Consider the following 26685-nt stretch of genomic DNA (forward strand, 5'->3'; position numbering starts at 1 on the left):
AAATGACGACATTTGAGGCAACAGTGCATCGTTGAATATATGTGGTTTCTAGAAAGTTCTTCATTCTGATGCAATTAAAACCTGTTGTTCCACGCCAGTATCGATAGTGCTGCCTCTAGAGGTACACAAGTATTTTTCTTCTCCATGATAACACAAGGTGTTTTTGTTTTAAATTTTTTTATGGAGATGCGCCCTGAACCAATAAAGGTTCAGAGAACTTCCAACATGAGGTATTTTTTTTGTGCGTGTGAGAGACAGGGTCTGCTCTGTCGCCCGGGTTGGAGTGCAGTGATGTGATCAGGAGCTATTTTTAAGATAGCTGCCTGTCTCTAAGTTTTTTCTCTTCTGGAACACTACCCTATTTTCCTCCCTCACAGATATGCATGCAAGGGTATGATATGGGGGAAGGTACAAACCAACAGAAAGTCTGGAAATAGACCTAAGTACATAAGAAAATTTACTAAACAAGAAAAACGACATTTCAGCATTTCAAATCAATGGGGAAAAATATGGATTAGTCAACAAACCATTTGAGGATAACTGGCTAACCATTTGGAAAAAAATGAGACTTGGGTTTTTGCCTTATTGCTTATGCCAAAATAGATTACACATGGATCAAATATTTTAAAATAAAAAATGAAACCATTAAAATGTTAGAAAACAATAGATGGATTTTGTTTCCAATAGTTTTTGGAGTAGAAAGGTCTAAGTTTGATATCAAACAAAACATAAATATGGTAAATAAACTGGAAAAATATTTGTGTTACAAATATAAAGGGCTATTTTCCTTAACAAAAAGCTTTTTATAAATCAGTAATTTAGAAAAAGGTGAACAAACGCATGGAACATGACAAAGAATATTAGAAGGTAGCTCTCTGGGAAAAAAAAAAATACAAACGGACCTCAGACATTAAAATTTTCAGCTTTGGCCGGGCACACTTTGGGAGGCAGAGGTGGGCGGATCGCTTGAGTCCTGAGACCAGCCTGAGCAAGATGATGAAATTCCGCCTCTACAAAAAATAAAAAAATTAGCTGGGCACGGCGGCTGCACCTATAGTCCCAGCTACTCGGGAGGTTCAGGTGGGAGAATCACCTGAGCCCGGGAAGTCGAGGCAGCAGTGAGCCGAGATTGCGCCACTGCACTCCAGCCTCTGCAACCCGAGACCCTCTCTCCAAAAAAAAAAAAAAAAAATCAGCTTTTAATTATATTGCTTCTCATTAAATAAGTGATAAGTTTTAATTATATTACTTCTCATTAAAGGAATGATAAATCTTATTCATTTATTTTTTTTTTCTCCCACTTGGAAAAGTAAAGAAATGATAAATTTTAAAATGAGATACCATTTTTTATATATTTGCAAAAAGTTTGATGATACCCAGTGTTGCCAATTGATAGGAAAACAGAAAATCTCCTACATTCTTTGTGGGAGTATATATTTGGTACAACCTTTTTGGAGGGCAGTCTGGCAGTATCACATTTTAAATGCCTATGTCCTTTGAAGTAGCAGTTCCACTACTGAGACTTTTTCTTTTAAACTCATTTAATTTCTTTATACTTGTACTCCCATATACATGAGTGCATAAATGTGATTATATCATACATGTAATTCAGTAATTGTAATTCAGTCTTATTTTTTCTTGACTTTCTTTTCCCCTTCTCCCATGGCCTTTCTCCCTGTAACCCATGCTAAATATTTATGTAGCTAGCCTTCCATACTTTTCTCCATGTTCATGTAATCATATATAGACATTTACAGGGTATTTTGGTCTTTGTTCACTTTTGTGGAAGAAGGATATATGATTTAATTACCAGTACATAGAGAAATATGTACAAGAACATTCATTGCAGCACTGTTTGTAATAGCACAAATTTGAAAAGAGCTGAAATGTCCTAAGAGTCTACTTGAATAAATTAGGGTTCATTGCAAAAATGTGGTGAGAGCTATGTGTACTGATAATGAAAAGACTACTAAGAAATATAAAGTGAAAAATGCAAGCTGCAGAACAATGCATATAGCATAATATTATTTGTAAAAATAAAAATAAAAAAAGAAAATGGTGTGTGTACTTGTTCTGATGTGTGCTTACGCTTAACTTTCTAGAAGGATAAATAAGATACATTGTCTCCGGGAAGAGCAAGGACAGAGTGTCACTCACTGCTGTTTTCAGAGTTCTTTATCAGTTAGAAAAAAAATGACCTGGTAAACATTATTTTGCCATAGTCATTAAAAATGTGGGTAGGGGGTGGGGTGGCTCACGCCTGTAATCCTAGCACTTTGGGAGGTTGAGGCGGGAGGAATGCTGGAACTTACGAGTTTGAGACCAGCCTGGGCAACATAGCAAGACCTCATCTCTATTTTTTGTTTAAAAAAGCGGGGGGTGTGGAGGGGATCAGCAAAAGAATGACGCCAACATTGGAAAATATACGTCTTAATAAGTAATAAAAAGGAATGCTAATTTAAAAATCATTTACCTATTAGCAAATTTTAAATATTTAATCATAGTAATGCTGCTGACATCATAAACTGACACAACCCTTTGGAAATGATTAAGCAGATGTACCAAGAGCTATAAAATTGGACATACTATTATATTCTTTTTTTTTTTTTTTTTTTTTTTGAGACAGAGCCTTGCTCTATTGTCAAGGCTGGAGTGCAGTGGCGCAATCTTGGCTCACTGCAGCCTCTGCCTCCTGGGTTCAAGCAATTTTCGTGCCTGAGCCTCCTGAGTAGCTGGGATTACAGGCGCATGCCACCACACCCGCCTAACTTTTTTTTTTTTTTGTATTTTTAGTAGAGATGGGATTTCACCATGTTGGCCAGGCTGGTCTTGAACTCCTGGCCTCAAGTGATCCATCCGCCTTGGCCTCCCAAAATGCTGGGATTATAGGCATGTGCCACCACGCCCGGCTAATTTTTTTTTTGTATTTTTAGTAGAGATGGGGTTTCACCACGTTGGCCAGGCTGGTCTCAAACTCCTGGCCTCAAGTGATCCACCCGCCTCGGCCTCCCAAAGTGCTGGGATTACAGGTGTGAGCCACTGTGTGCAGCTGGACATACTGTTGATTGAGTAATTTGATTTTTGGCAACCAAGCATAGGAAAATCCAGTTTATGAAGCCAATTAAATGCCCAAAGTTGCTTTTTGTAGTATTTAATTTTTTTTGTTGTTTGTTTGAGACGGTATTACTCTGTCACCCAGGCTGGAGTGCAGTGGCATGATCATGACTCACTGCAACCTCTGCCTTCTGGTCTCAAGTGATCCTCCCACCTCAGCCTTCAGAGTAGCTGGGACTACAGATGCACCACCATGCCCAGCTAATTTTTGTATTTTATTGTAGAGATGTGGTTTCGCCGCCAAGTTGCCCAGGCTAGTCTCGAACTCCTGGGCTCAAGCGATTTGCCTGCTTTAGCCTCCCAAAGTGCTGGGATTACAGGCGTGACTGCCGCACCCGGCCTCATAGCATTTAATTTAAAAATTAAATTAATAGTCAGGAGCGGTGGCTCACGCCTGTAATCCCAGCACTTTGGGAGGCCGAGGCGGGCGGATCACGAGGTCAGGAGATCGAGACCATCCTGGCTAACACAGTGAAACTCCATCTCTAGTAAAAATACAAAAACAAATTTAGCTGGGCGTGGTGGCAGGCACCTGTAGTCCCAGCTACTCGGGAGGCTGAGGCGGGAGAATGGCGTGAACCTGGGAGGCAGAGCTTGCAGTGAGCCGAGATCGCACCACTGCACTCCAGCCTGGGTGACAGAGTGAGACTCCATATCAAAATAAAAAAAGAAAAAAAATGATTAGTGTTAATTCTTCGTTAAATTTTTGGTAGAATTCACCAGTGAATCAATATGATCCTGGGCTTTTCTTTGTTGGGAGGTTTTTTATTACTGATTCAGTCTCCTGAATCATGTGTGTGATCAAAAATGCAAAAGGTGGCCGAGCCCAGTGGCTCACACCTGTAATCCCGGCACTTTGGGAGGCTGAGGTGGGCGGATGGCTTGAGTCCAGGAGTTTGAGACCAGCCTGGCCAACATGGTGAAACCCTGTCTCTACAAAAAAAAATACAAAAATTAGCCAGGCACAATGGCACACACCTGTAGTCTCAGCTACTTGGGGGGTTAAGGCGGGAGAATTGCTTGAGCCCAGCAGGTGGAGGTTGCAGTGAGTTGAGATCGCGCCATTGCACTTCCACCTGGGCGACGGGAGCAAAGCCCTGTCTCAAAAAAAGAAAAAAAAAAACAAAGCAAAAGGTCAAATTGCAGCTCCATGACCCTCAGTCACTTGCCCTCAAATAGGGAGTGCCCAGGGTGGATCGTTAGTCTCAGTTGTCCTGAGAGGTAAATGGGTTATGTGTTATTATTAGCCCCTTGTGAATTTGGTTGACAGGAGTCATGCCTTTAGCATTTAATGAAGAATTGATAAACCTGAGTTTCTGAAGCTACAGGTCCAAAAAGCAGATCTTAGGCTTCTGGTTGGAGATAGCTCTTGAGGCCAGACACCAACCTGCCAGTCTCTAACCAATCTTAGCTCCAAATTGGAACTGCTACTTCCCTTGATCTGAGCATTGTATTTTCACTAACGAAGATAAGACTGTTAGCTTGTTTTTTACTTTGGGCTGACTCTTTACCTCGAACCTTCACATAGATGGGCATATATGTGTAATTACATTTTTACACACAGAAAATTATTACTTAGTGAGATCTAGTAGGCAGAATTCTTTCACAACTTGAGGTTTTTTTAGGGGGTGGAAAATAATAGAAGGGGTCTTTGGAATCACTTTGAGATTTTGAGATTCATTCATACATTCATTCATTTAAAAAATACTTATTGAATCCTGACTTTGTATGGAACAACGTGAAACAAATACACTTCCAAGTCCTTGCATAGCTTACTGTCTAGGGTGGGGGTTAGAAACACGTAAACAGGTAGTTAAAGTAGAGTGTGATAAACGCTGCGAAGGGGCAGATGTGCATGATGCCATAGGAGTACAGAGGAGGGCAGATAGCATCTTGTTTACTTTCCACAATAGCCCTATGAAATAAATGTTTTTTTTTTTTTTTTCAACTGAGGCCCAAGAACTTGGTATTATGAAAGTCTAGAAGTGATGGTGGCTTAGAGTAGGGTGCTACTAGTGGAGTTGGAGAGATTTGGATGAATATGTAATATATTGTAGTTCATAAATTCAGAGATGTCTTTTCACATTTTTGCATTTCTGAAATTGGCATGTATCATACATTTGATGGCAGGTTGTAGTTTGGTAGTGTTTTTTTTCTTTCATGGAGGAGGTACATATAATAATGTGTCTTAGATGAAATATATTAGAGAAGTGGAGCCAACAGGTCTTGCAGATGGGTTGGATATGGGAGGTGAGGGAAAGAAAGAAATCAAGGATGACTCCTCAATTATTTGGCATTACTGGGTAGATGGTGGTGCCATTGACTGAGATGGGTAGGGCTGGGATAGGAACAGGATTGAGGGAGAAAATAGAGTTCTGTGTTGTTGGCCATGTGGCCATGTTACTTTTTTTTTTTTGAGACAGAGTTTCGCTCTTGTTGCCCAGGCTTGAGTGCAGTGGTGCGATCTCAGCTCACTGCAACCTCTGTCTCCTGGGTTCAAGCGATTTTCCAGCCTCAGCCTCCCAAGTAGCTGGGATTACAGGCACCTGCCACCACACCTGGCTAATTTTTGTATTTTTAGTAGAGACGGGGTTTCACCATGTTGGCCAGGCTGATCTTAAATTCCTGACCTCAGGTGATCCGCCTGCCTCAGCCTCCCAAAATGCTGGGATTACAGGTGTGAGCCACTGCGCCTGGCCCATGTTACCTTTTAAATACTTAATAAATATCCAAGGTGTCAAGTAGACAGTTTGAGTTCAGTGAAGAGCTCAAGGCTATTAATGTAAAGTTGGGGACATGGAGTCTAGGGCTAGTAGCATGAATGATTCAGGAGAAAGGGGAGAATGATGCAGCACAGAGTGCTGGAACTACCGGAATACAATCCTTGGGAAGGCTAGGGGAGACAGGTCCAAAGTACAAGGGAGGGATTGGTCTTTGATAGTGGTAGGGACACTGTGTTCCCTTGTTAGTGATAGAGAAGGCGGAGAGTCTAGTATGGTTGCAGTTAGTTCTGGAGATTTCTTGGTGGGAGGATGAGTGAGTTCCTAGCTGATTGCTTCTATTATCCTAGTGTCTTATGAGACAAGGTCATTAACACAGTGAAGGGGGTGGGGAAGGAGGGATTGGCACTTCAAAGGCAGAAGTTGTACCGAAATGCATAATGCAAGAGGTGGGGGTCTGGTTTTCATTGATAAGCCTAATTGGTACTCTCTGATGCCCACTGACTAGTCTTTTTTAGCCCAAGCAAGATTCTTTGTTTTGTCAATACTATTACAAGATAGCCTTGATGATATGATATTTAAAATATATTTAAAATTATATTTTAAAAATTATCCTGTTAGGCTGAATTTAAAATAATCAGAAAAGCAAATGGGTCACCTAGTGGATTGGCTATGTTTTAAATTTCTTGACAATGCCAAAGTTACTTAATTAGCATTCTATTGATATTTTCAATTCCTGATTTCAAGGAAAAGAAGGCTGTCACATTTAACTGGTGTTCCTGAAAGTGTGGTCTGCCAGCTTCCTGGATCAGAATTGCCTGGGGGTGCTTGTTAAAAATGTAGTTTCTTGGATTTCTTTTTTTTTTTTTAAACAGTCTTGCTCTGTCGCCCAGGCTGGAGTGCAGTGGCACAATCTCAGCTCACTGCAAACTCACTGCAACCTCTGTCTCCTGGGTTCAAGTGATTCTTGTTCCTCAGCCTCCCCAGTAGCTGGGGTTACAGGTGTGCGCCACCATGCCTGGCTCTTAAAATTTTTGTATTTTTAGTAGAGATGGGGTTTCGCCATGTTGGCCAGGCTGGTCTAGAGCTCCTGGGTTCAAGGGATCCACCCACCTTGGCTTCCTAAATTGCTGGGATTACAGGTGTGAGCCACTGCATCCGGCCAAAAATGCAGTTTCTGATTCCTGTTGTTCTAGAGTAAGGCTCATAAATATTGTCTATTTGTTTTTTTGTCTTTGCCACTAGACTGTGAGATCCCTAGAAGTCATTCTTTTTTTCTTTTTTGTAGCCCCAGTACCAAGTATATAGTAGATGCTCGATAAATGTCTAATTAGTGAATGAATGAACCACAGATATCCTAATCATGTTATAATATATTTATTGAGTTGTAAAAATTACTAAGGGAATATAGGTCTGTGGTGAAAATGAACAGTACAGAAGCATATAAATTAAAAAGTGAAAGTCTGCCTTCACATGCCTGCATCCTCCCATTCTTCTGAGGTAATAATTTTGAATAATTTGGCAGTATTTCTTCCAGAGATTTTTCTGTAGTCATATAAAAGCATACATAATCTTTATGATTTATAGTCTTTTAAAGTTTTAAAGGAGAGATCTGGCCAGGCGTGGTGGCTCATGTCTGTAATCCCAGTACTTTGGGAGGCCAAGGCTGGCAGATCACCTGAGGTCAGGAGTTCAAGACCAGCCTGGCCAACATGGTGAAACCCCATCTCTACTAAAAATACAAAAATGAGCTGGGCGTGGTGACACACGCCTGTAATCCCAGCTACTCCACAGGCTGAGGCAGGAGAATCACTTAAACCCAGGAGGTGGAGGTTGCAGTGAACCAAGATCGCGCCACTGCACTGCAACCTGGGTGACAGAGCGAGACTCTGTCTCATAAATAAATAAAATAAAATAAAATAAAATAGATCTTTTTTGGATCTTTTATAACTTTTTTTTAAGTTTTTTTTTTTTTTTCTTTGTCAGCCAGGTGGGAGTGCAGTGATGCCATCATAGCTCATTGCAGCCTCGAACTCTTGGGCTCAAGGGATACTCTTGAGTAGCTGGGAGGATCCCACATCCAGCTAATTTAAAAATATTTTTTGTAAAGACAAAGAGTCTCGCTATGGTGCCCACACTAGTCTTGAACTCCTGCTCCCAAGTGATCCTCCGGCCTCGACCTCCCAAAGTGTTGGGATTATAGGCATGAGCCACTGCTCCCAGCTCTTCTATAGTTTTTGAGGTTTGTTTTTTTTTTTAAATGTATCTTTAAAGCCTTCCAATGTTATTTCTTAGTCCTTTCATGATAGAATTCTGGTTCTTCTTCCTTCAATGCATATATTCTTTTTTTTTAACGAGGTGTGGTGGGGGGTTTCTTGCTGTATTTCCCAGGCCAGAGTACAGTGGCTATTCACAGGTGTGATCATGGTGCACTGAGGCCTCCACCTCCTGGGCTCATGCAGTCCTCCCCTACCCCCTGCATAGCTGGGACTACAGCGTACCTGGCCTGCATATATTTCCTTTTTTTTTTTTTTTTTTTTTTTTTTTTTTTTTGAGACAGAGTCTTGCTCTGTCACCCAGGCTGGAGTGCGGTGGTGCAATCTTGGCTCACTGCAACCTCTGCCTCCAGGTTTCAAGTGATTCTCCTGCCTCAGCCTCTGAAGAAATTGGACTATAGGCATGTGCTACCACACCCAGCTAAGTTTTGTATTTTTTAGTAGAGACGGGATTTTGCTATGTTGGCCCAGCTGGTCTCAGACTCCTGACCTCAGGTGATCACCCACCTCGGCCTCCCAAAGTGCTGGGATTACAGGCATGAGCCACTGCACCCAGCCTCCTTTTTTCCTTTTCCCCTATTCTTAACATGTCAGCTAGCCTGCATATATTTTCTTTTTTTTTAAGACAGGGTCTCACTCCTGTCACCCAGGTGGGAACTGCAGTGGCACTATCATGGCTCACTGCAGCCCCGACCTCTCGGGCTGAAGCAACCCTCCAGCCTCGTTGTTTGATTTTTTTTTTTTTTGTAGAGACGGTTTCACCATGTTGCCCAGGCTGGTCTTGAACTCCTGGGCTCAAGTAATCCTCCCGCCTTAGCCTCCCAAAGTGCTGATTACAAGCGTGAGCCACTGCATTCAGCCACCTGCGTATATTTTCTAATAATAGTAACATGAGCCTTGAAATACATTCTAGGGACTTGTTCCCCTGGTGGTGAATATTACTTGGAAAAGATACCAAACAAAATCTGCCTTCTTTTTGACCATGTATTTCTTCCTTAGTGCTTTCCTTGGACTTCCTCACCTGTTGGTTACTATCCCACCTGGAATTTGATATTTTGCCATTAGGGATTTGGGTGGGGCTCTCTGTCATGTAACTTTTTGCCTCATGTTGATCCTTTGTTCCTTTTGCCTGACCTCTCAAAAAAGTAGGTGTGTTTGTAACACAAAAGTATGTAAAAAGATGGATGAAGTCTGAATCAGCTGTTAGTTTATATAATATATAGTGCTGTTTACTGACAACTAACATCACATATTGACCCATACATGGGAAACCGTACAGCCAGCAAAAGGTTTCTTTCCTGATTAAAGAAAAAAACTTGAAGTCTACTACTAAGTCCAATGTACAGTGGTTGAGAAATGCATAGGAAGTTTAATCAAGGAGTTGAGCCATCATGTATTTTGAAAGATTGGAAAAGTATACAGGCAGCACAGTATCAGCCTCTAGGCCAAATGAAAAGCCGTAAAGAAGTGGCTAAGTCTAATTTTTTTTTTTTTTGATGGGGTCTCGCTCTGTGGCCCAGGCTGGAGTGTAGTGGCGTGGATCTTGGCTCACTGCAACCTCTGCCTCCTGGGTTCAAGTGATGCTCCTGCCTCAGCCTCCCGAGTAGCTGGGATTACAGGCGCCCGCCAACAGGCCTGGCTAATTTTTGTATTTTCAGTAGAGATGGGGTTTCACCATGTTGGTCAGGCTGATCTTGAGCTCCTGACCTCAAGCAATGCAACTGCCTCGGCCTCCCAAAGTGCTGGGATTACAAGCGTGAGCCACCGTGCCCAGCTGAAGTCTAACTTTTAATATGTAGAGCCTGGACTTCCTTATAGCTATTATGTCCCCCTCCTTTAGCATTTTGATATCCTCTGTGGACTACGTGTCACAATAACTAATAACAAGATGACCTATGATGTAGCCAGGCGCCACATTGGAGGAGTGGCAGTGGCGGTGAAGTGGTGCTCACTGCGGTGTGACTCCCCTGGGCTGGAGTTTGGATCTGGCTGACAGTGGATGTCCAGCCGGCTGCTGTCTGGTGAGCTGAAGGGTTCCGAGCAGGAACCTTGGCTTCACCTCAGGTGGTGCTGCATAACTCTCTGGTAAGTGATAGCAAGAGGCAAAGTAGCCTGCCACAGAGCAGCAGAGAGAGAGTGCTGGGACCCCTGGCAGATGAGACAGAGAAGCAAGAGGCCCCAGCATCGTGGCTCACTGCAGGGAGCAGTGGCAGCTTTGAAACCATCCATTCATTGGCTCTGCATGAAACGGAGTTCAGTAGTTGTCCATTTACCTAGATATCAATCCCAAACAGTAGGCTGTCTCCAAGAAGTACACCCTTAACGGGGACCTCCTTGCCCTTTTGCCCTTTAATTTTTGACTGCAATCTCTTCATCCTCAAGTCCTTTCCCCCGAGGCTCTTTTCTCAAGACTCACTTTCATGTCTTTATTTTTTATTTTACTTTTTTTTAGAGACAGGGTCTTGCTGTGTCGCCCACACTGCAGTGCAGTGGCACCATCATAGCTCACTGCAACCTTGAATTCCTGGGCTCAAGCGATCCTCCCCGCTCAGCCTCCCAAGTTGGTGGGATTACAGGCGTGAGCCTCCATGCCTGGTGTTGCTTTCATACCTTTAAATGGAAATAAATTACTTGGCAGAAAACAGGCTTTTCACTGATAGCTAGCGATAACTCATCTAACATTCTTCCCGTGTTTTTGATTCAGCAGTAAGGACTGAGCAGCTCATTGCTTCCAATTTTTGTTCACTTGTGCTGTTGTGATCCTAATTTCCTAAGGGCTTAAAGCCCTTAAAACCTTTTTTGCATTTCAGGAATTCTGATTGGTTGTTTTCTTCACTTATTTGGGATTTTTGATAATTGGTTGCTTATGGCGTCGATAGCCCTCCTTTTATAAAGTATCTCTTTTATTTTTGCAGTTACATCCTTAATGTTCAGTCAAGCAGTGATGACACCAGTGGGTCTTGTAAGTAGAGTCCACTCAAAGCAGGAACATTTTGAAGTGTCTTTGTAGAGATGACTCAACTGTGATTTGGGATGTCTGGCCTAAGTTGGTTCTAAGTTCGTCACCTCTAGGGCTCTCTTTAGGTCGGTGAAATGAAATTTCCCTACTGTCAGGAGTGGAGGAGGTTCTCTGCTTCTTTTCCAACTTACTTTCCTCCTTTTTTTTTGGCTCTGGGTTTCCTTACTTTTATTTCCTTTCTATCCTTCATGGGAGATGTAAATTTTAAGCAGCTCTAATTTATAGACTTTGGTTTTAGGGAGTTAAAGACATAGGCAACCAGATTTTTTCATGCTTCAGATGTTTTCTAATGCCCTCTTTCTCTGATTTAGCTGTGGCCAGAAGAGCTCCGAAGAGACAGGCGAGGTGAGTAGGAGAATTAATGAAACTTTACTTTTTTTTTTTTTTTAAATTAAGGGGGGAAAAACCCCATGCTCTGTCTAAGGAAATTTAAGAGTAAACTTCACATTTCCTCTGTGGACACTCTGTGGTTCTCAGCAGGATCATGATGGCTGTTTGACATCACAACCAGGTTGAAAACATTAGATTCCTTATGCCTGACCCATTATCTAACTGGTCAGTTTCTTCTTTGAGGTATCTCTGTGAACTATGCCTTAACATCCAGGCTCTACTAGTCTAAGCCCTTATCAGTGTTTACTCCCTTTTAGTTTTATTTTTAGTTTACTTTAGTTTTTATTTGTATTTTTATTTTTTTTGAGACTGAGTCTTGCTCTGTTGGAATGCAGTGGCACGATCTCACCTCACTGCAATCTCCACCTCCGGGGTTCAAGTGATTCTTCTGCCTCAGCCTCCAGAGTAGCTGGGATTATAGGCACACGCTACCATGCCTGGCTAATTTTTGTATTTTTAGTAGAGATGGGGTTTCACCATGTTGGTCAGGCTGGTCTTGAACTCCTGACCTCAAGTGATCCACCTGCCTTGGCCTCCCAAAGTGCTAGGATTACAGGCGTGAACCACTGCACCTGGCCTAAGTCTAACTTTTAGTATGTAGAGCCTGGACTTCCTTATAGCTATTATGTCCCCCTCCTTTAGCATTTTGATATCCTCTGTGGACTATGTGTCACAATAACTAATAACAAGATGACCTATGATGTAGCCAGGCGCCACATTGGAGGAGTGGCAGTGGCGGTGAAGTGGTGCTCACTGCGGTGTGACTCCCCTGGGCTGGAGTTTGGATCTGGCTGACAGTGGATGTCCAGCCGGCTGCTGTCTGGCGAGCTGAAGGGTTCCGAGCAGGAAGTGCTTGGCTTCACCTCAGGTGGTGCTGCATAACTCTCGTAAGTGATAGCAAGAGGCAAAGTAGCCTGCCACAGAGCAGCAGAGAGAGAGTGCTGGGACCCCTGGCAGATGAGACAGAGAAGCAAGAGGCCCCAGCATCGTGGCTCACTGCAGGGAGCAGTGGCAGCTTTGAAACCATCCATTCATTGGCTCTGCATGAAACGGAGTTCAGTAGTTGTCCATTTACCTAGATATCAATCCCAAACAGTAGGCTGTCTCCAAGAAGTACACCCTTAACGGGGACCTCCTTGCCCTTTTGCCCTTTAATTTTTGACTGCAATCTCTTCATCCTCAAGTCCTTTCCCCCGAGGCTCTTTTCTCAAGACTCACTTTCATGTCTTTATTTTTTATTTTACTTTTTTTTAGAGACAGGGTCTTGCTGTGTCGCCCACACTGCAGTGCAGTGGCACCATCATAGCTCACTGCAACCTTGAATTCCTGGGCTCAAGCAATCCTCCCTGCTCAGCCTCCCGAGTTGGTGGGATTACAGGCGTGAGCCTCCATGCCTGGCGTCTCTTTCATACCTTTAAATAGAAATAAATTACTTGGCAGAAAACAGGCTTTTCACTGATAGCTAATGATACTCAGCTAACATTCTTCCCGTGTTTTTGATTCAGCAGTAAGGACTGAGCAGCTCATTGCTTCCAATTTTTGTTCACTTGTGCTGTTGTGATCCTAATTTCCTAAGGGCTTAAAGCCCTTAAAACCTTTTTGCATTTCAGGAATTCTGATTGGTTGTTTTCTTCACTTATTTGGGATTTTTGATAATTGGTTGCTTATGGCGTCGATAGCCCTCCTTTTATAAAGTATCTCTTTTATTTTTGCAGTTGCATCCTTAATGTCCAGTCAAGGAGTGGTGACACCAGTGGGTCTTGTAAGTAGAGTCCACTCAAAGCAGGAACATTTTGAAGTGTCTTTGTAGAGATGACTCAACTGTGATTTGGGATGTCTGGCCTAAGTTGGTTCTAAGTTCGTCACCTCTAGGGCTCTCTTTAGGTCGGTGAAATGAAATTTCCCTACTGTCAGGAGTGGAGGAGGTTCTCTGCTTCTTTTCCAACTTACTTTCCTCCTTTTTTTTTGGCTCTGGGTTTCCTTACTTTTATTTCCTTTCTATCCTTCATGGGAGATGTAAATTTTAAGCAGCTCTAATTTATAGACTTTGGTTTTAGGGAGTTAAAGACATAGGCAACCAGATTTTTTCATGCTTCAGATGTTTTCTAATGCCCTCTTTCTCTGATTTAGCTGTGGCCAGAAGAGCTCCGAAGAGACAGGCGAGGTGAGTAGGAGAATTAATGAAACTTTACTTTTTTTTTTTTTTTTAAATTAAGGGGGGAAAAACCCCATGCTCTGTCTAAGGAAATTTAAGAGTAAACTTCACATTTCCTCTGTGGACACTCTGTGGTTCTCAGCAGGATCATGATGGCTGTTTGACATCACAACCAGGTTGAAAACATTAGATTCCTTATGCCTGACCCATTATCTAACTGGTCAGTTTCTTCTTTGAGGTATCTCTGTGAACTATGCCTTAACATCCAGGCTCTACTAGTCTAAGCCCTTTTTGGTGTTTGCTCCTTTTTATTTTTGTTTTTAGATTAGTTTAGTTTTGTTTTGTTTTGAGACTGAGTCTTGCTCGACCAGGTTCGAGTGCAGTGGTGCAATCTCGGCTCACTGCAGCCTCCGCCTCCTGAGTTCTGGTGATTCTTCTCCTCAGCCTCTCAAGTAGCTGAGATTACTGGCACACGCCACCATGCCCGGCTAATTTTTGTGTTTTTAGTAGAGATGGGGTTTCACCATGTTTTTCAGGCTTGTCTTGAACTCCTGACCTGAAGCGATCCACCTGCTTTGGCCTCCCAAAGTTCTGGGATTACAGGTGTGAGCCACCGTGCCCAGCTTGTTTCTTCTTTTTAAGTGGCTTCCTCACCTTGATCTCTTACTTCTGATCCAGTCGGTGTACCACTTGTAGTTGGATCTCCTGAGGCACTGCTTTGATCATATCAATCCTCAATTCAAATAGCTCGTAATAGAAAAATCAAGCTGTTTACCCCAATATTTAACGCCTTCTGTGATCTGGCCATAACCTCTCTTTCAGCCTCACCTGCTACTGTTCCTATTAATGAATCCTCTGTTCTAGCCAGAGCTTGATGGAGGGGTGTTTCCCAGGTGCCAAACTGTAGGGGGTGCTGAAAAAAATTGCTGGAGTAAATATGAAGTATGGTGCTACATAACTGTTTTCCACATTGACTCCTTGAATTACTGTACAAATGCAAATTGGTCATTCTTGTTCCCCCCATCAAGCTAGATAGTGCTGTGAAGTGGGAAAGTTTTTGTTCTGGCTATCTCCGATTTATCTCTATTGAGTATTTTCATAACGTGTAAGCCACCAACTCCTGACACCAATGTGTGAAATGTCATTTAAAATCTGCAGTTGCAGGCCGGGCACAGTGGCTCATGCCTGTAATCCCAGCACTTTGAGAGACCAAGGTGGGCGGATCACTTGAGGTCAGGAGTTCAAGACCAGCCTGGCCAACATGGGGAAACCCCATCTTTAATAAAAATACAAAAATTAGCAGGGTGTGGTAGCATGTGCCTCTAATTCCAGCTACTTAGGAGGCTGAGGCACGAGAATCACTGGAACCTGGGAGGCGGAGGTTGCAGTGAGCCAAGATTGCGTCACTGCACCCCAGCCTGGGTGGGAGTGAGACTCTCTCAATAAATAAATAAATAAATAAAGTCAGCAGTTGCAATCAGCTGAAATTCTAGAGCCAAATAATGTATAAAGCTATTAATCGTTGATGATCAGTTTTGTTAATTGTATTTCTAAAGTCTGGTTTATTGAGGTATGATTTATATATGGTAAAATTCACCCTTTTTAGGTGTACAGTTTGATGGATTTTGACAAGCATATATGGTAGTGTAACCATCACCACTATCAAGATGCAGAGTATTTCCATTGCTGTTATTTATATTTTAAATGTTCTATCATGGCTCCTAAGAAGTATTCCAGTGTATAATATTATACATAATGAAGTCCTTATTTGATAATTAAAATGTATCTGAGTTTTAAATAGAAAAAATAGTTTCTTCCAGCCTCTGCTAGATAGATGGTGAACAAATGTTTAAAGAAAATCAGTTTTAAGGGACCTGCAAGGAGTGCCCACAGGTCTTGGTCCAGTCCCAGGTGCCATCTATATATGGGATATAGGAAGAGTAGATTTGGGAGGAAGGTGATGAGTTTGGTTTTGGGCATGCTAGAATCAAGGAGCCTGTAGGCAGGGCTGATAATCAAAATTTTCTAACAACCAACAGAACACAGGCAGGAATTAGTCAGGATGGTTGCCTGCTGGTCAGGACAGACACCATCAATAAACAAATCGGTAAGGCCGTACCTCTGCATACTGACTAAATATCAGCCCTGCCCACAGGATATCCAGGTAGGAAGTTGGAACTGTGGAGCTAGAAGTCAGAAGAGAAGTTGGGCTCAATATAATGAATTGGGCTGGTGTAATTAATAATTGATTGTATTGGCATGAGAGGGCTGGGGATAAGTCCTGGGATTGAGTCGAGGAAGATGAGTGAGGAGGAGTGAATGGAAAGGTGAGACGAGAACCAAAAGACGACTTTGTCCCAGAAATCAAGAAAAGAGTTTTAAGGATGGAGTAGTCAATAGGATAGCAAAGGCACATCAACTTGGCAGTGTCAAAGTGGTAAACATGGTGGAAGCAGATGAACATGTGTGTCTGTAGCAGGTGCAGACATGTCCTGTAACAGTGTATTAAGTATTTTTCTTTCATTATGAAAGTATATTATACTTATTATACACTGTTTGGGGACAGGAAGGTGGCCAATTTCATCCTGCTGGAACTTCTGAGCCAAATACCAGGATTAGCCGAGGATGAGGACCCCAGGGGGTGCTTACCACTGGCACCCTGGGTGGTGCAGGTGCACTGCTGAGTTTGACACCTACCAGAGCAGTCCGTCAGTTCAAGAGGGTGGTGCTGGTTTGGGGTTGCAGAGAGTAGCACTGAAGAGAAACTCCCTACTCTGAGGCTGCCTCTCTCCATCTGTGGCCCTCTACCCTTCTCAGACAACTGGATCTCAAACTTGATAAAGAAAGATGACAACTCCCTGATCAATTTTACCACTGTGCCAAAACTATCTGAATACATAAAATCTGACAGAGCCCATTTCACTCTCAGTATGTGACAGACTCCTCGTTTTAGAAGGATGTGAGACAGATGGAAAGATGTAGGAAGATGGAAAAAGAGAAAAAGATAGAAAATCAGGTAGAATGGAAGGATTGAGTAGTTCCAAAGGAGGGGAACAGAGTTACTGTGGGAAACAAAAAATTGACAAGTGGTCAAGATCAGAAAAGGTGAGAAATGCCATGAAAAAGAAGACTGTTGCGTTCATACTTCTCTCTTGTTTTTCTCCTGTTTCATCACTCAGCTCCGTGGTAGTGATTGACTCTGATTCTGATGAGGAATGTCACACCCATGAAGAGAAGAAAGCTAAGTTATTGGAAATAAACAGCGACGGCAAGTATATATTACTTTGTTAGATAAGTAGCTGAGCTCCAAAGCCTCATCACACGTGGTACTTTCAGGATCAGAGTCCGCAGACTTTCTATTCAGAATCCCTCAGTAGTGAGTGCCACCGTTTCTTTCCTCGTATGTGCTGGCTGTGGATATGGCCGGGTTCCCTATACCCCCTGGTCAATTTCCCAGCAGCAGCAACTGTTGTTGCTGCCTCAGACCTTGGGGGCCCCCTCAGTAGAGTTCTTACCTGCCTAGAGCTATATCAGTGAAGCGGGGTAGGGGTGGTGGGTCAAGAGCTGAGGCTAGGAAGTATGGAGGCTGCTCTGTGACTCCCTCTTCCTCTCTTCCCCGCTCTATGTGTGGGAATGACGAGGAAGAGGAAAGGAGTAAGAGGCCTGGCTCATTCTTCCTTCCAGCTTGAAGGGTGGTGGTTATGGGCCAGCTGGCAGTGTCGTGTTGAGAAAACTCTTTTTCCATTGAGCTGCTGGTCTTTGCTGTTTGCCGGTCCTTCTGTATTTTCTACAGATTCTTGTGTTTCTTTAGAGCCTGTTTCCCGTGGCAGTTCCTTACCTCTTTGGATCAGAAGCCCCTTTAGCCTTCTGGGTGGCTTGGAGCTTAACTGAATTCAGAACCTACCTGCTCGGTGGGGGATGAAACACAGGAAGACTAGAAACTTTTTAAGCATTAGGGACAGTATTTCACTGAGCTTTGTTCTGTCAGTACAGGTATAGGGCATGATACGTGGGGCACTTAGTTAATGTTTGCTGAGCTGAACTCAACTGAAAATGGGACACCCTTAAAGCACCAACTACAACTTTTTTGGAGACAGTCTCGGTCTGTTGCCCAGGCTGGAGTGCAGTGGCATGATCTCAGCTCTCTGCAACCTCTGCCTCCTGGGCTCAAGTGATTCTCCTGCCTCAGCCTCCTGAATAGCTGGGATTACAGGCGCCCGCCACCATGCCCAGCTAATTTTTTTTGTTGTTGTTTTTTTTTTTTTTAGTAGAGATGGGATTTCTCCATGTTGGCCAGGCTGGTCTTGAACTCCTGGCCTCAAGCAATCTGCTTGCCTTGGCCTCCCAAAGTGCTAGGATACAGGTGTGAGCCACTGGGCCTGACCAGCACCAGCTACTTCTTAGATAACTACCCAAGAGCTATTGTTGGCCAGAGTTGCTTAGCTAACCCGGGATATCAGAGCAGGGAAGGGAGAGGTGGTTTGAAACGCTAGTCTCCTATTGTTCTACCACCTATCCTTTTGGATTTCTTTCCCTGCTTCCTCTCTCTAGCTCTGGGTGGCTGTGCCTGAGCAGGACAGTGGTCTGGGTGCAGAGTAGAGGGTCTGACATGACAAGCTGTTCAAATGTGAAAGGAACTCCAAGGAGGCAGCTTGAGGGCAGGCAGGAGTAACAGAGCCAGAAACCAGTTCACAACCGGAGGCCACCAGGTGCTTTACTCCTTAAATCAGAAGAGACCGATTCTTTTGAGGGTGAACTTTTAGCTAAGGCTGCTCTTAACCTTGCTGGCCTGTGGACTGTAGCTGTGGGCATCCATCGCAGCAATGGAGGGATGAAGAATGCTCCTATAGGACTGGCTTTGTATGTTTCTTTGCTGTTCTCTACGTGGCATTTCTTTTTGTTATAATGAATTTAGGCAATTCTACAGAAAACAAGGCCCAGTGAACTCTAAAACATACCTCCAACCTTTGTCACTGTACATAGTCATTTTTAAATATATCGTAAGCAGTGTGTCCCTACTTTTTCTAATTTTTAATTTCAACTGCAGGTGGCAAATCTTTTAAGTTTTCTAGGAAAGAGGCAGGGCTTTTTACCATAGGAACATCTACTCCTTTTCTCTTCCCTTACTGCATATTTGAAGTTTTTTCATAATTAATTCAAATAACAGATAAGACTCTCAAAATATATTATCTCAAATCTGCAGTTTTAGGATAAAGAGATTTTGCACCATGAATATATCTTTCACATCTTGCCTATGCCATGGTTTAGATTTTTAGATTTTTGTTTACATCCAGAATCATAGAAAGCTAGAACTTGAGCTCCAAACAGACTTCAAAGAGTGTGTGGCGTCAGACACACCGACCTTCATTTCAGTGCAGGCAGTGATGTTCCAAATGTTCTGAGGCCTCTCAGAGAGTGCTGACATCAGGACCTACTCCTGACTCATATCAGTGGTTCTGAGAGCTTTGCACTTATGAACTAATTTAAAGAATGAAATTTTGGTGACCAACACAGAGTTGTCAATTTTTAATTTGTCTAATGAAGGAAATTAAAAAAAAAAAACTTCAGCTACCATTTACTATCTTTGTAATTTTGTAAAGAACACCAAAAGTTTAACCAAGACATAATCACAAAATAAAGGACAGTCCTTTAAATTATAGAAATTTAACTTGATGGGAGAAAAAATACCACTTTATTATTCTAATTTGTCTTATTTTGCTGTGGACCAGTGAAAATATACAAGTCTGCAGACCCGTGTTTGGGAAGCCCGAAGCAACTACTGTATCTTGCTACTTAGAGACTATGATTTGAAAATTGCCACGAGTTTGGTTGCTATTTGATCTGTCACTGCTCTCAGTGAAATAAAAAATAGGGGAAAAACAATCTAAAGTAACTTTCTTTTTTAAAAAATAATTTTTCATTTTTGTGAGTAGATAGTAGGTGTATATATTTATGGGGTACATGAGATGTTTTGATACAAGCATGCAATGTGTAATAATCACATCATAGAGAATGCAGTATCTGTCTTCTCAAGCATTTATCCTTTGTGTTACAAGCAATCCAGTTATACTCTTTTAATTATTTTAAAATGTACAGTTAAGTTAGTGACTTACAGTCATCCTGTTGCGCTATTAAATAGTAGATCTTATTCTTTCTATTTTTTTGTGCCCATTAACCATCCCTACCTTTCCACACCCCTCCACTATCCTTCCCTGCCTCTGTTAACTATTCTTCTATTCTCTGTCTCCATTAGTTCAATTGTTTTCATTTTTAGACCCCACATATAAATGAGAACATGCGTGTGGTGGCTCACGCCTGTAATCCCAGCACTTGGGGAGTTCGAGGCAGGCGGATCACGAGGTCAAGAGATCGAGACCATCTTGGCCAACATGGTGAAACCCCGTCTCTACTAAAAATACAAAAATTAGCTGGGTGTGGTGGTGCGTGCCTGTAGTCCCCGCTACTTGGGAGGCTGAGACAGAATTGCTGGAACCCGGGAGGTGGAGGTTGCAGTGAGCCGAGATTGCGCCACTGCATTCCAGCCTGGCGGCAGAGCAAGACTCCATCTCAAACAACAACAACAACAACAACGAGAAAAAAACGTGAAATTTGTCTTTCTGTGCCTGGCTTATTTCCCTTAACATAATGACCTCCAGTTCCATCCATGTTGTTGCAAATGACAGGATCTCATTCTTTTTTATGGTTGAGCAGTACTCCATTGCTCCATTGTGCATATGTACCACATTTTCTTTATGCATTCATCTGTTTTTTTTTGTTTTGTTTTGTTTTTTTGCGACGGAGTCTTGCTCTGCTGCCCAAGCTGGAGTGCAGTGGCGCAATCTCGGCTCACTGCAGCCTCTGCCTACTGGGTTCAAGCGATTTCTCCTGCTTCAGCCTCCTGAGTAGCTGGGACTACAGGCACCCTCCACCATGCCTGGCTAATTTTTGTAGTTTTAGTAGAGATGGGGTTTCACCATTTTGGCCAGGCTGGTCTCAAACTCCTGGCCTCAAGTGATCCGTGCGCCCTGGCCTCCCAATGTGCTGGGATTACAGGCGCGAGCCACCGTGCCCGACCTCCATTCATCTGTTGATGGGCACATAGGTTGCTTCAAATCTTGGCTATTGTGAACAGTGCTACAACAAACATAGGAGTGCAGATATCTCTTTGATATACTGATTTTCTTTCTTTCGGGTATATACGCAGCGGTGGGTTTGCTGAATTGTATGGTAGGTCTGTTTTTAGTTTTTTGAGGAACCACCAAACTGTTCTCCAGGGTGGTTGTACTAATTTACATTCCTACCAGCAATGTACAAGGGTTCCCTTTTCTCCTCATTCTCACCAGCATTTATTATTGCCTGTCTTTTGGCTAAAAGCCATTTTAACTGGGGTGAGATGATACCTCATTGTAGGTTTTGTTTTTTGTTTTTTGTTTTGTTTGAGACAGTCTCACGCTCACCCAGGCTGGAGTACAGTGGTGTGATCTTGGCTCAGTATAACCCCCACCTCCCAGGTTCAAGCGATTCGCCTGCCTCAGCCTCCCAAGTAGCTGGGACCACAGGCACACATCACCATACCTGGCTAATATTTGTATTTTTAGTAGAGATGGGGTTCTGCCATGTTGGCCAGGCTGGTCTCAAACTCCTTACCTCAGATAATCCACCCGCCTTGCCCTCCCAAACTGCTGGGGTTACAGGTGTGAGCCACCGTGTCTGGTCATTCATTGTAGTTTTGATTTGCATTTCTCTGATGATCAATGATGTTGAACACCTTTTCATATGCCTGTTTGCCATTTGTATGTCTTCTTTTGAGAAATGTCTATTCAGATCTTTTGTCCCATTTTTTCATTGGATTATTAGATTTTTTTTTCCTATAGAGTTGTTTGACCTCCGTATATACTCTAGTTATTAATCCCTTGTCAGATGGGTAGTTTGCAGATATTTTGTCCCATTCTGTGGGTTGTCTCTTCACTTTGTTGATTGTTTCCTTTGCTGTGCAGAAGCTTTTTAACTTAATGTGATCCCATTTGTCCATTTTTGCTTTGGTTGCCAGTGCTTGTGGGGTATTGCTCAAGAAATTTTTGCCCAGACTGATGTCCTGGAGATTTTCCTCAATGTTTTCTTGTAGTAGTTTCATAGTTTGAGGTCTTAGATTTATGTCTTTAATCCATTTTGATTTGATTTTTGTATAGCAAGAGATAGGAGTCTAGATTCATTCTTTTGCATATGGATATCCAGGTTTCCCAGCACCATTTATTGAGGAGACTTCCTTTTCGCCAGTGTATGTTCTTGGCACCTTTTTCTAAAATGAGTTTGCTGTAGGTGTGTGGATTTGTTTCTGGGTTCTCTATTCTATTCCATTGGCCTATGTTGTCTGTTTTTATGCCAGTACCATGCTGTTTTGGTTACTGTAGCTCTGTAGTGTAATTTGAAGGCAGGTTATGTGATTCCTCCACTTTGTTCTTTTTGCTCAGGATAACTTTGGCTATTCTGGGCCTTTCATGATTCCATATAAATTTTAGGATAGTTTTTTCTAGTTCTGTGAAGAATGTCATTGGTATTTTGATAGGGATTGTATTGAATCTTTACATTTCTTTAGGCAGTATGGACATTTTAACAATATTGAGTCTTCCAATCCATGAACATGGAATCTTTCCATTTGTTGGTGTCTCCTTTAAAATAACCGATTCTTAACTGCTATTCAAAATGTCACAGTTCCTGTCTTGTTTAATTTGTGCTAAATAATCTGCTGAAATTTAGCATATAAAGGAGGTGGTAGAGGGAGTATATTTACATATGATTGTGTCTCTTGAATTTCAGATGAGAGTCCGGAGTGTTGTCATGTGAAGCCTGCCATCCAGGAACCTCCAATAGTTATTAGTGATGATGACAATGACGATGACAACGGTAATGATTTGGAAGTTCCCGACGACAACAGTGATGATTCAGAAGCTCCCGACGACAACAGTGATGATTCGGAAGCTCCTGACGACAACAGTGATGATTCGGAAGCTCCCGACGACAACAGTGATGATTCGGAAGCTCCCGACGACAATAGTGATGATTCGGATGTTCCCGACGACAACAGTGATGATTCATCCGACGACAACAGTGATGATTCATCCGACGACAACAGTGATGATTCGGATGTTCCCGACGACAAGAGTGATGATTCGGATGTTCCCGACGACAGCAGTGATGATTCGGATGTTCCCGACGACAGCAGTGATGATTCGGAAGCTCCCGACGACAGCAGTGATGATTCGGAAGCTCCCGACGACAGCAGTGATGATTCGGAAGCTCCCGACGACAGCAGTGATGATTCGGAAGCTCCCGACGACAGCAGTGATGATTCGGAAGCTTCCGACGACAGCAGTGATGATTCGGAAGCTTCCGACGACAGCAGTGATGATTCGGAAGCTCCCGACGACAAGAGTGATGATTCGGATGTTCCCGAAGACAAGAGTGATGATTCGGATGTTCCCGATGACAATAGTGATGATTTGGAAGTTCCTGTGCCAGCAGAAGATTTGTGTAATGAAGGCCAAATTGCTTCAGATGAAGAAGAGCTGGTTGAGGCTGCTGCTGCTGTCTCCCAGCATGATTCATCTGATGATGCTGGTGAGCAGGATCTTGGTGAGAATCTCAGCAAACCACCAAGTGATCCTGAGGCTAACCCTGAAGTTTCAGAGAGAAAGCTGCCAACTGAGGAAGAGCCTGCACCTGTGGTGGAACAATCAGGGAAAAGGAAGTCAAAAACCAAAACTATTGTGGAGCCACCGAGGAAAAGGCAGACAAAGACCAAAAATATAGTGGAGCCACCAAGGAAAAGGCAGACAAAGACCAAAAATATAGTGGAGCCACTGAGGAAGAGGAAGGCGAAAACCAAAAATGTATCTGTGACACCTGGTAAGCCAGTCATGCCAAGTATGCCTGTCCCACTGAATGTGCCTTGCCTGCCAAATGTGCCTGTGTTATCCAGTCTGCCTGTCCTCCCTTTCAACCCTGTGCCATTTCAGCAACTTCCCTGTGGCCCAAGGAGGCATCCATCCCAGTGCAAGGATGGTTCTGGGAACAGGGGAGGAATGCCCACATCTTTCTCATGCTCCTGTATCTTAGTATTTGCTGTTCACTAGCCTAGAGTGCTGTCTCCCTGAACCTTCTGTTCTGAGGATATCTTATTTTTCTTAGGAAATTATCTCTTCCTCTATGAAGCCGTGAGTCAGGGTGGCTCCTGTCTCCTGGGTTACCAAAGTTCTAGAGCCCATCTCTACCAAAGCACTAGTCACATTGTTAGAATACATTCCTGAGTCTGTCCCCTTCCCTACCCCGTCCCGGTAGACTGTGAGCCTCTTCGTGGGAGGACTCTTCCTCATCTTTTAGTCTCTCTCAGGATTTGGCCTGGTGCTTGGCACATGATAGAGGTTCAATAAATTTTTTAGATATATGAATGACACTGACTATTGATACATAAGCCTTTAGCTAGAGCAGCTGGCAGGATCTGCCTTGCCCTGCACACTGAGTAAAGGTGCTGCCTAGAATATGAGCCACTCATTGGAGCAGGTGTGTGAGCTGTTCCATAGCACCCCTTCGACTGTGCACGCTTCAGTTGCCCACACCACCTAGCTTCTAAGGGCACACTCCTGGACCCTCATAGTCCTTGGTGCCTGTGACAGAATCCTGCCCAGCTCATGCTGCTGGCAGCTCTGTGATTCACGTGGGTGAGATCGTTGAGAATGATGAAGGCAGCAGTATGCCACTTCAGACAGTTTTGTTTAGAGAAGTTGCACTGGGCTTGGCTGTGAGGGCTCCTTTTGGGTTTACCTTTCTGTTGGTCTCGTGATGGTACCAATTTTCGGGGTACAAGTAACCTATTATTTTTTCATCTGGTAAAGGACATAAGAAGCGTGGGCCTTCAAAGAAGAAACCCGGTGCAGCAAAAGTTGAAAAACGCAAGACTAGGTATGTACTGCTCGCATACAGTTGAACAGGAATTTATTGCACAGCCGTCACACTGGGCAGTCCACTGGGCACTTGGGTGGGGGTGGTCTGCAAGGGGATGGAGTCTGGCTGGGATGGGACTGGGGGACAAGGTTTCTGTCCTTGAGTAGGAGGGCCCAAGCAAGGGAGAATACTACCCACTGGCTCCTTCCTCCCTTCTTTCCCCACTCTCTGAGGCTGGGCATGGGCTCTCCGCCAAGGTGCCTGCAGTTACCTGGGTGGAGGGGGCCTTTCTGCACCCACAGCAGCTCTGGCCTCTGAGATTGCCTATGTCCTTCAACTCAGATCAAAGAACAATGTGTAGCCAAACAAGACACTTTTCTTCAGGCTGGATACAGCCTCATGGCCACCAGTTTGTGCTAAACCAAGGCAAAGGCACTGGAAATGGTGAGAAGGCGAAAGCAACACATTAATCTGTTGGAATTGGAGGGAGAGTGGTCAAGATTGTCTTCCAGGTTTTTCTAGTGCTTTGGCTGAACCCAGTTACTCTTACTACTATGTATATCTGTATGAATTTTTAAGCTTAAATATTAGGATGAAATGGATTGCTTATCATTCCTTTATTTTTATTAAGCTATATATAGTTGATACTGAAAACAACCACTGATCCTGTAGACCAAAGACATGTTAATACTTAAGGCAAAAAATTAATATATTTTCTTATTTAGATTCCAGGAATTTCTTAGTTTTTCCCTTAAAAATTTGATATAGTAAGCATAATTTTCTTTGTTTTTACTTTCATTGAAGAGTAATGTATGCTCACATCTGAATTGTCTTACAAGACAAAGAATGTATTTGAAGGACTATATGTTATTTTTTAACGAGTATTTGGGGACAATAAGTGTATATTAAGGGAGGGGAAAAAGACTGATGTGTCAGGCATAGGGGCACCAGGTTACCCCGGACCTGAGCAGAAGGGCTGTCTGTTTCTGCACTGGCTTAGGCAGCCGGTAGCAGCTTGCCAAGTACTCTCTTAGCTGGATCCCCTTTCAGCAAGGTTTCTGCTCCAGACTCCTAACTACATATTTAAGCTGCTTTGCCTCCAGGGACGTGTGTCTTGGGTAACTCCCAGGTTACTTTGCTAGAGCGTGACAAAAGAAGGGAAAAGCTGTCCCTTGGTGTCATTGTCAGTCTGCATTATCCAAAGGAGGCTAGCCCGTTTGGACTCTTAACTGTTGTTTAGCACTTCCTGTGTCAGTCTGGAGGCTTCCTGTTATGCTTAGCATTGTTCCTGTGTAGGCTGCTTGCTGGTCATGGTGTCTGATGTACCCAGTTTGGGGTCTTGTCGGTTCCTCTGATGTGAAGGTGCTCAGCCTGCAGTAAAGAGCCACAGGCCTTGAGGTGAAAGTATGCTAAGCCACAAGGCCAACGTTCTGTGAGCACAAACACACAGGGGTCCGGGCTCTGCCAAAGTCTGCAGAGGGTTCAGGTTTGCATCTGCCACCTTAAATACTGATGTAAATTTGCTTTCAGACCTAAGTAACTGGAGGCAGAAATGTTTGAGTCCCCCATTTCAGGCTTGGGATGAAGAACCTTCTGTAACCTCTGTCTTGTCTGGTACTTCCCCCCTCTGCAGCCCAACTTCCTCACGTAGGGTTTAGTTTGTGACTTAAGGGTTAATAAGTGTTCTGGCAAATTCTTAGTCTTAGGAGTTCTATTAAGTCAGAAACTTGCTGCATTTGCTCCCATTTTGTCTTTCCAGCTCTTTGGGCTCATCTCTGGACTTAGTGGACTGTTCCAGCTAAGATAAAAATGCTTCTGTTTAAATGGTAGTTATTACAGTATGAGTCCTTTATGTGTTCAGCATTATTCTTTGTGCCATTTGAATTAGGCCTTGAAAGATGGGGCAGCGATTGTGGTTTAATCAAAAGACCATGAGATTTGGATCAGGAGATTCACTGTCTCTGTGACCTCTGGGCAAGTCACTTGACCCCTGAGCACAGTGGAGATCGTAAAAATAGTAACAGCTTCTTTGAAGGGCAGTTGTGAGGATTAAATATGACAATGCAAAAA

At 43.2% G+C, this 26685-nt stretch overlaps 1 protein-coding gene across 1 annotated transcript in view; it reads left to right on the forward strand.

Moving 5' to 3' along the window:
- Positions 1 to 26685, forward strand: part of GCNA (germ cell nuclear acidic peptidase) — a 35147-nt gene that overhangs the window by 2660 nt on the left and 5802 nt on the right. The window contains exons 3-9 of the mRNA NM_052957.5: positions 11026 to 11072; positions 11441 to 11474; positions 13235 to 13281; positions 13650 to 13683; positions 16854 to 16942; positions 22492 to 23580; positions 24567 to 24633. Of these exons, the coding sequence (NP_443189.1) occupies positions 11026 to 11072; positions 11441 to 11474; positions 13235 to 13281; positions 13650 to 13683; positions 16854 to 16942; positions 22492 to 23580; positions 24567 to 24633 (1407 nt within the window). The remainder of the gene's footprint in view (positions 1 to 11025; positions 11073 to 11440; positions 11475 to 13234; positions 13282 to 13649; positions 13684 to 16853; positions 16943 to 22491; positions 23581 to 24566; positions 24634 to 26685) is intronic.

This window comes from Homo sapiens, chromosome X, assembly GCF_000001405.40.
Source record: "Homo sapiens chromosome X, GRCh38.p14 Primary Assembly".
Classification (NCBI taxonomy): Eukaryota; Metazoa; Chordata; class Mammalia; order Primates; family Hominidae; genus Homo; species Homo sapiens.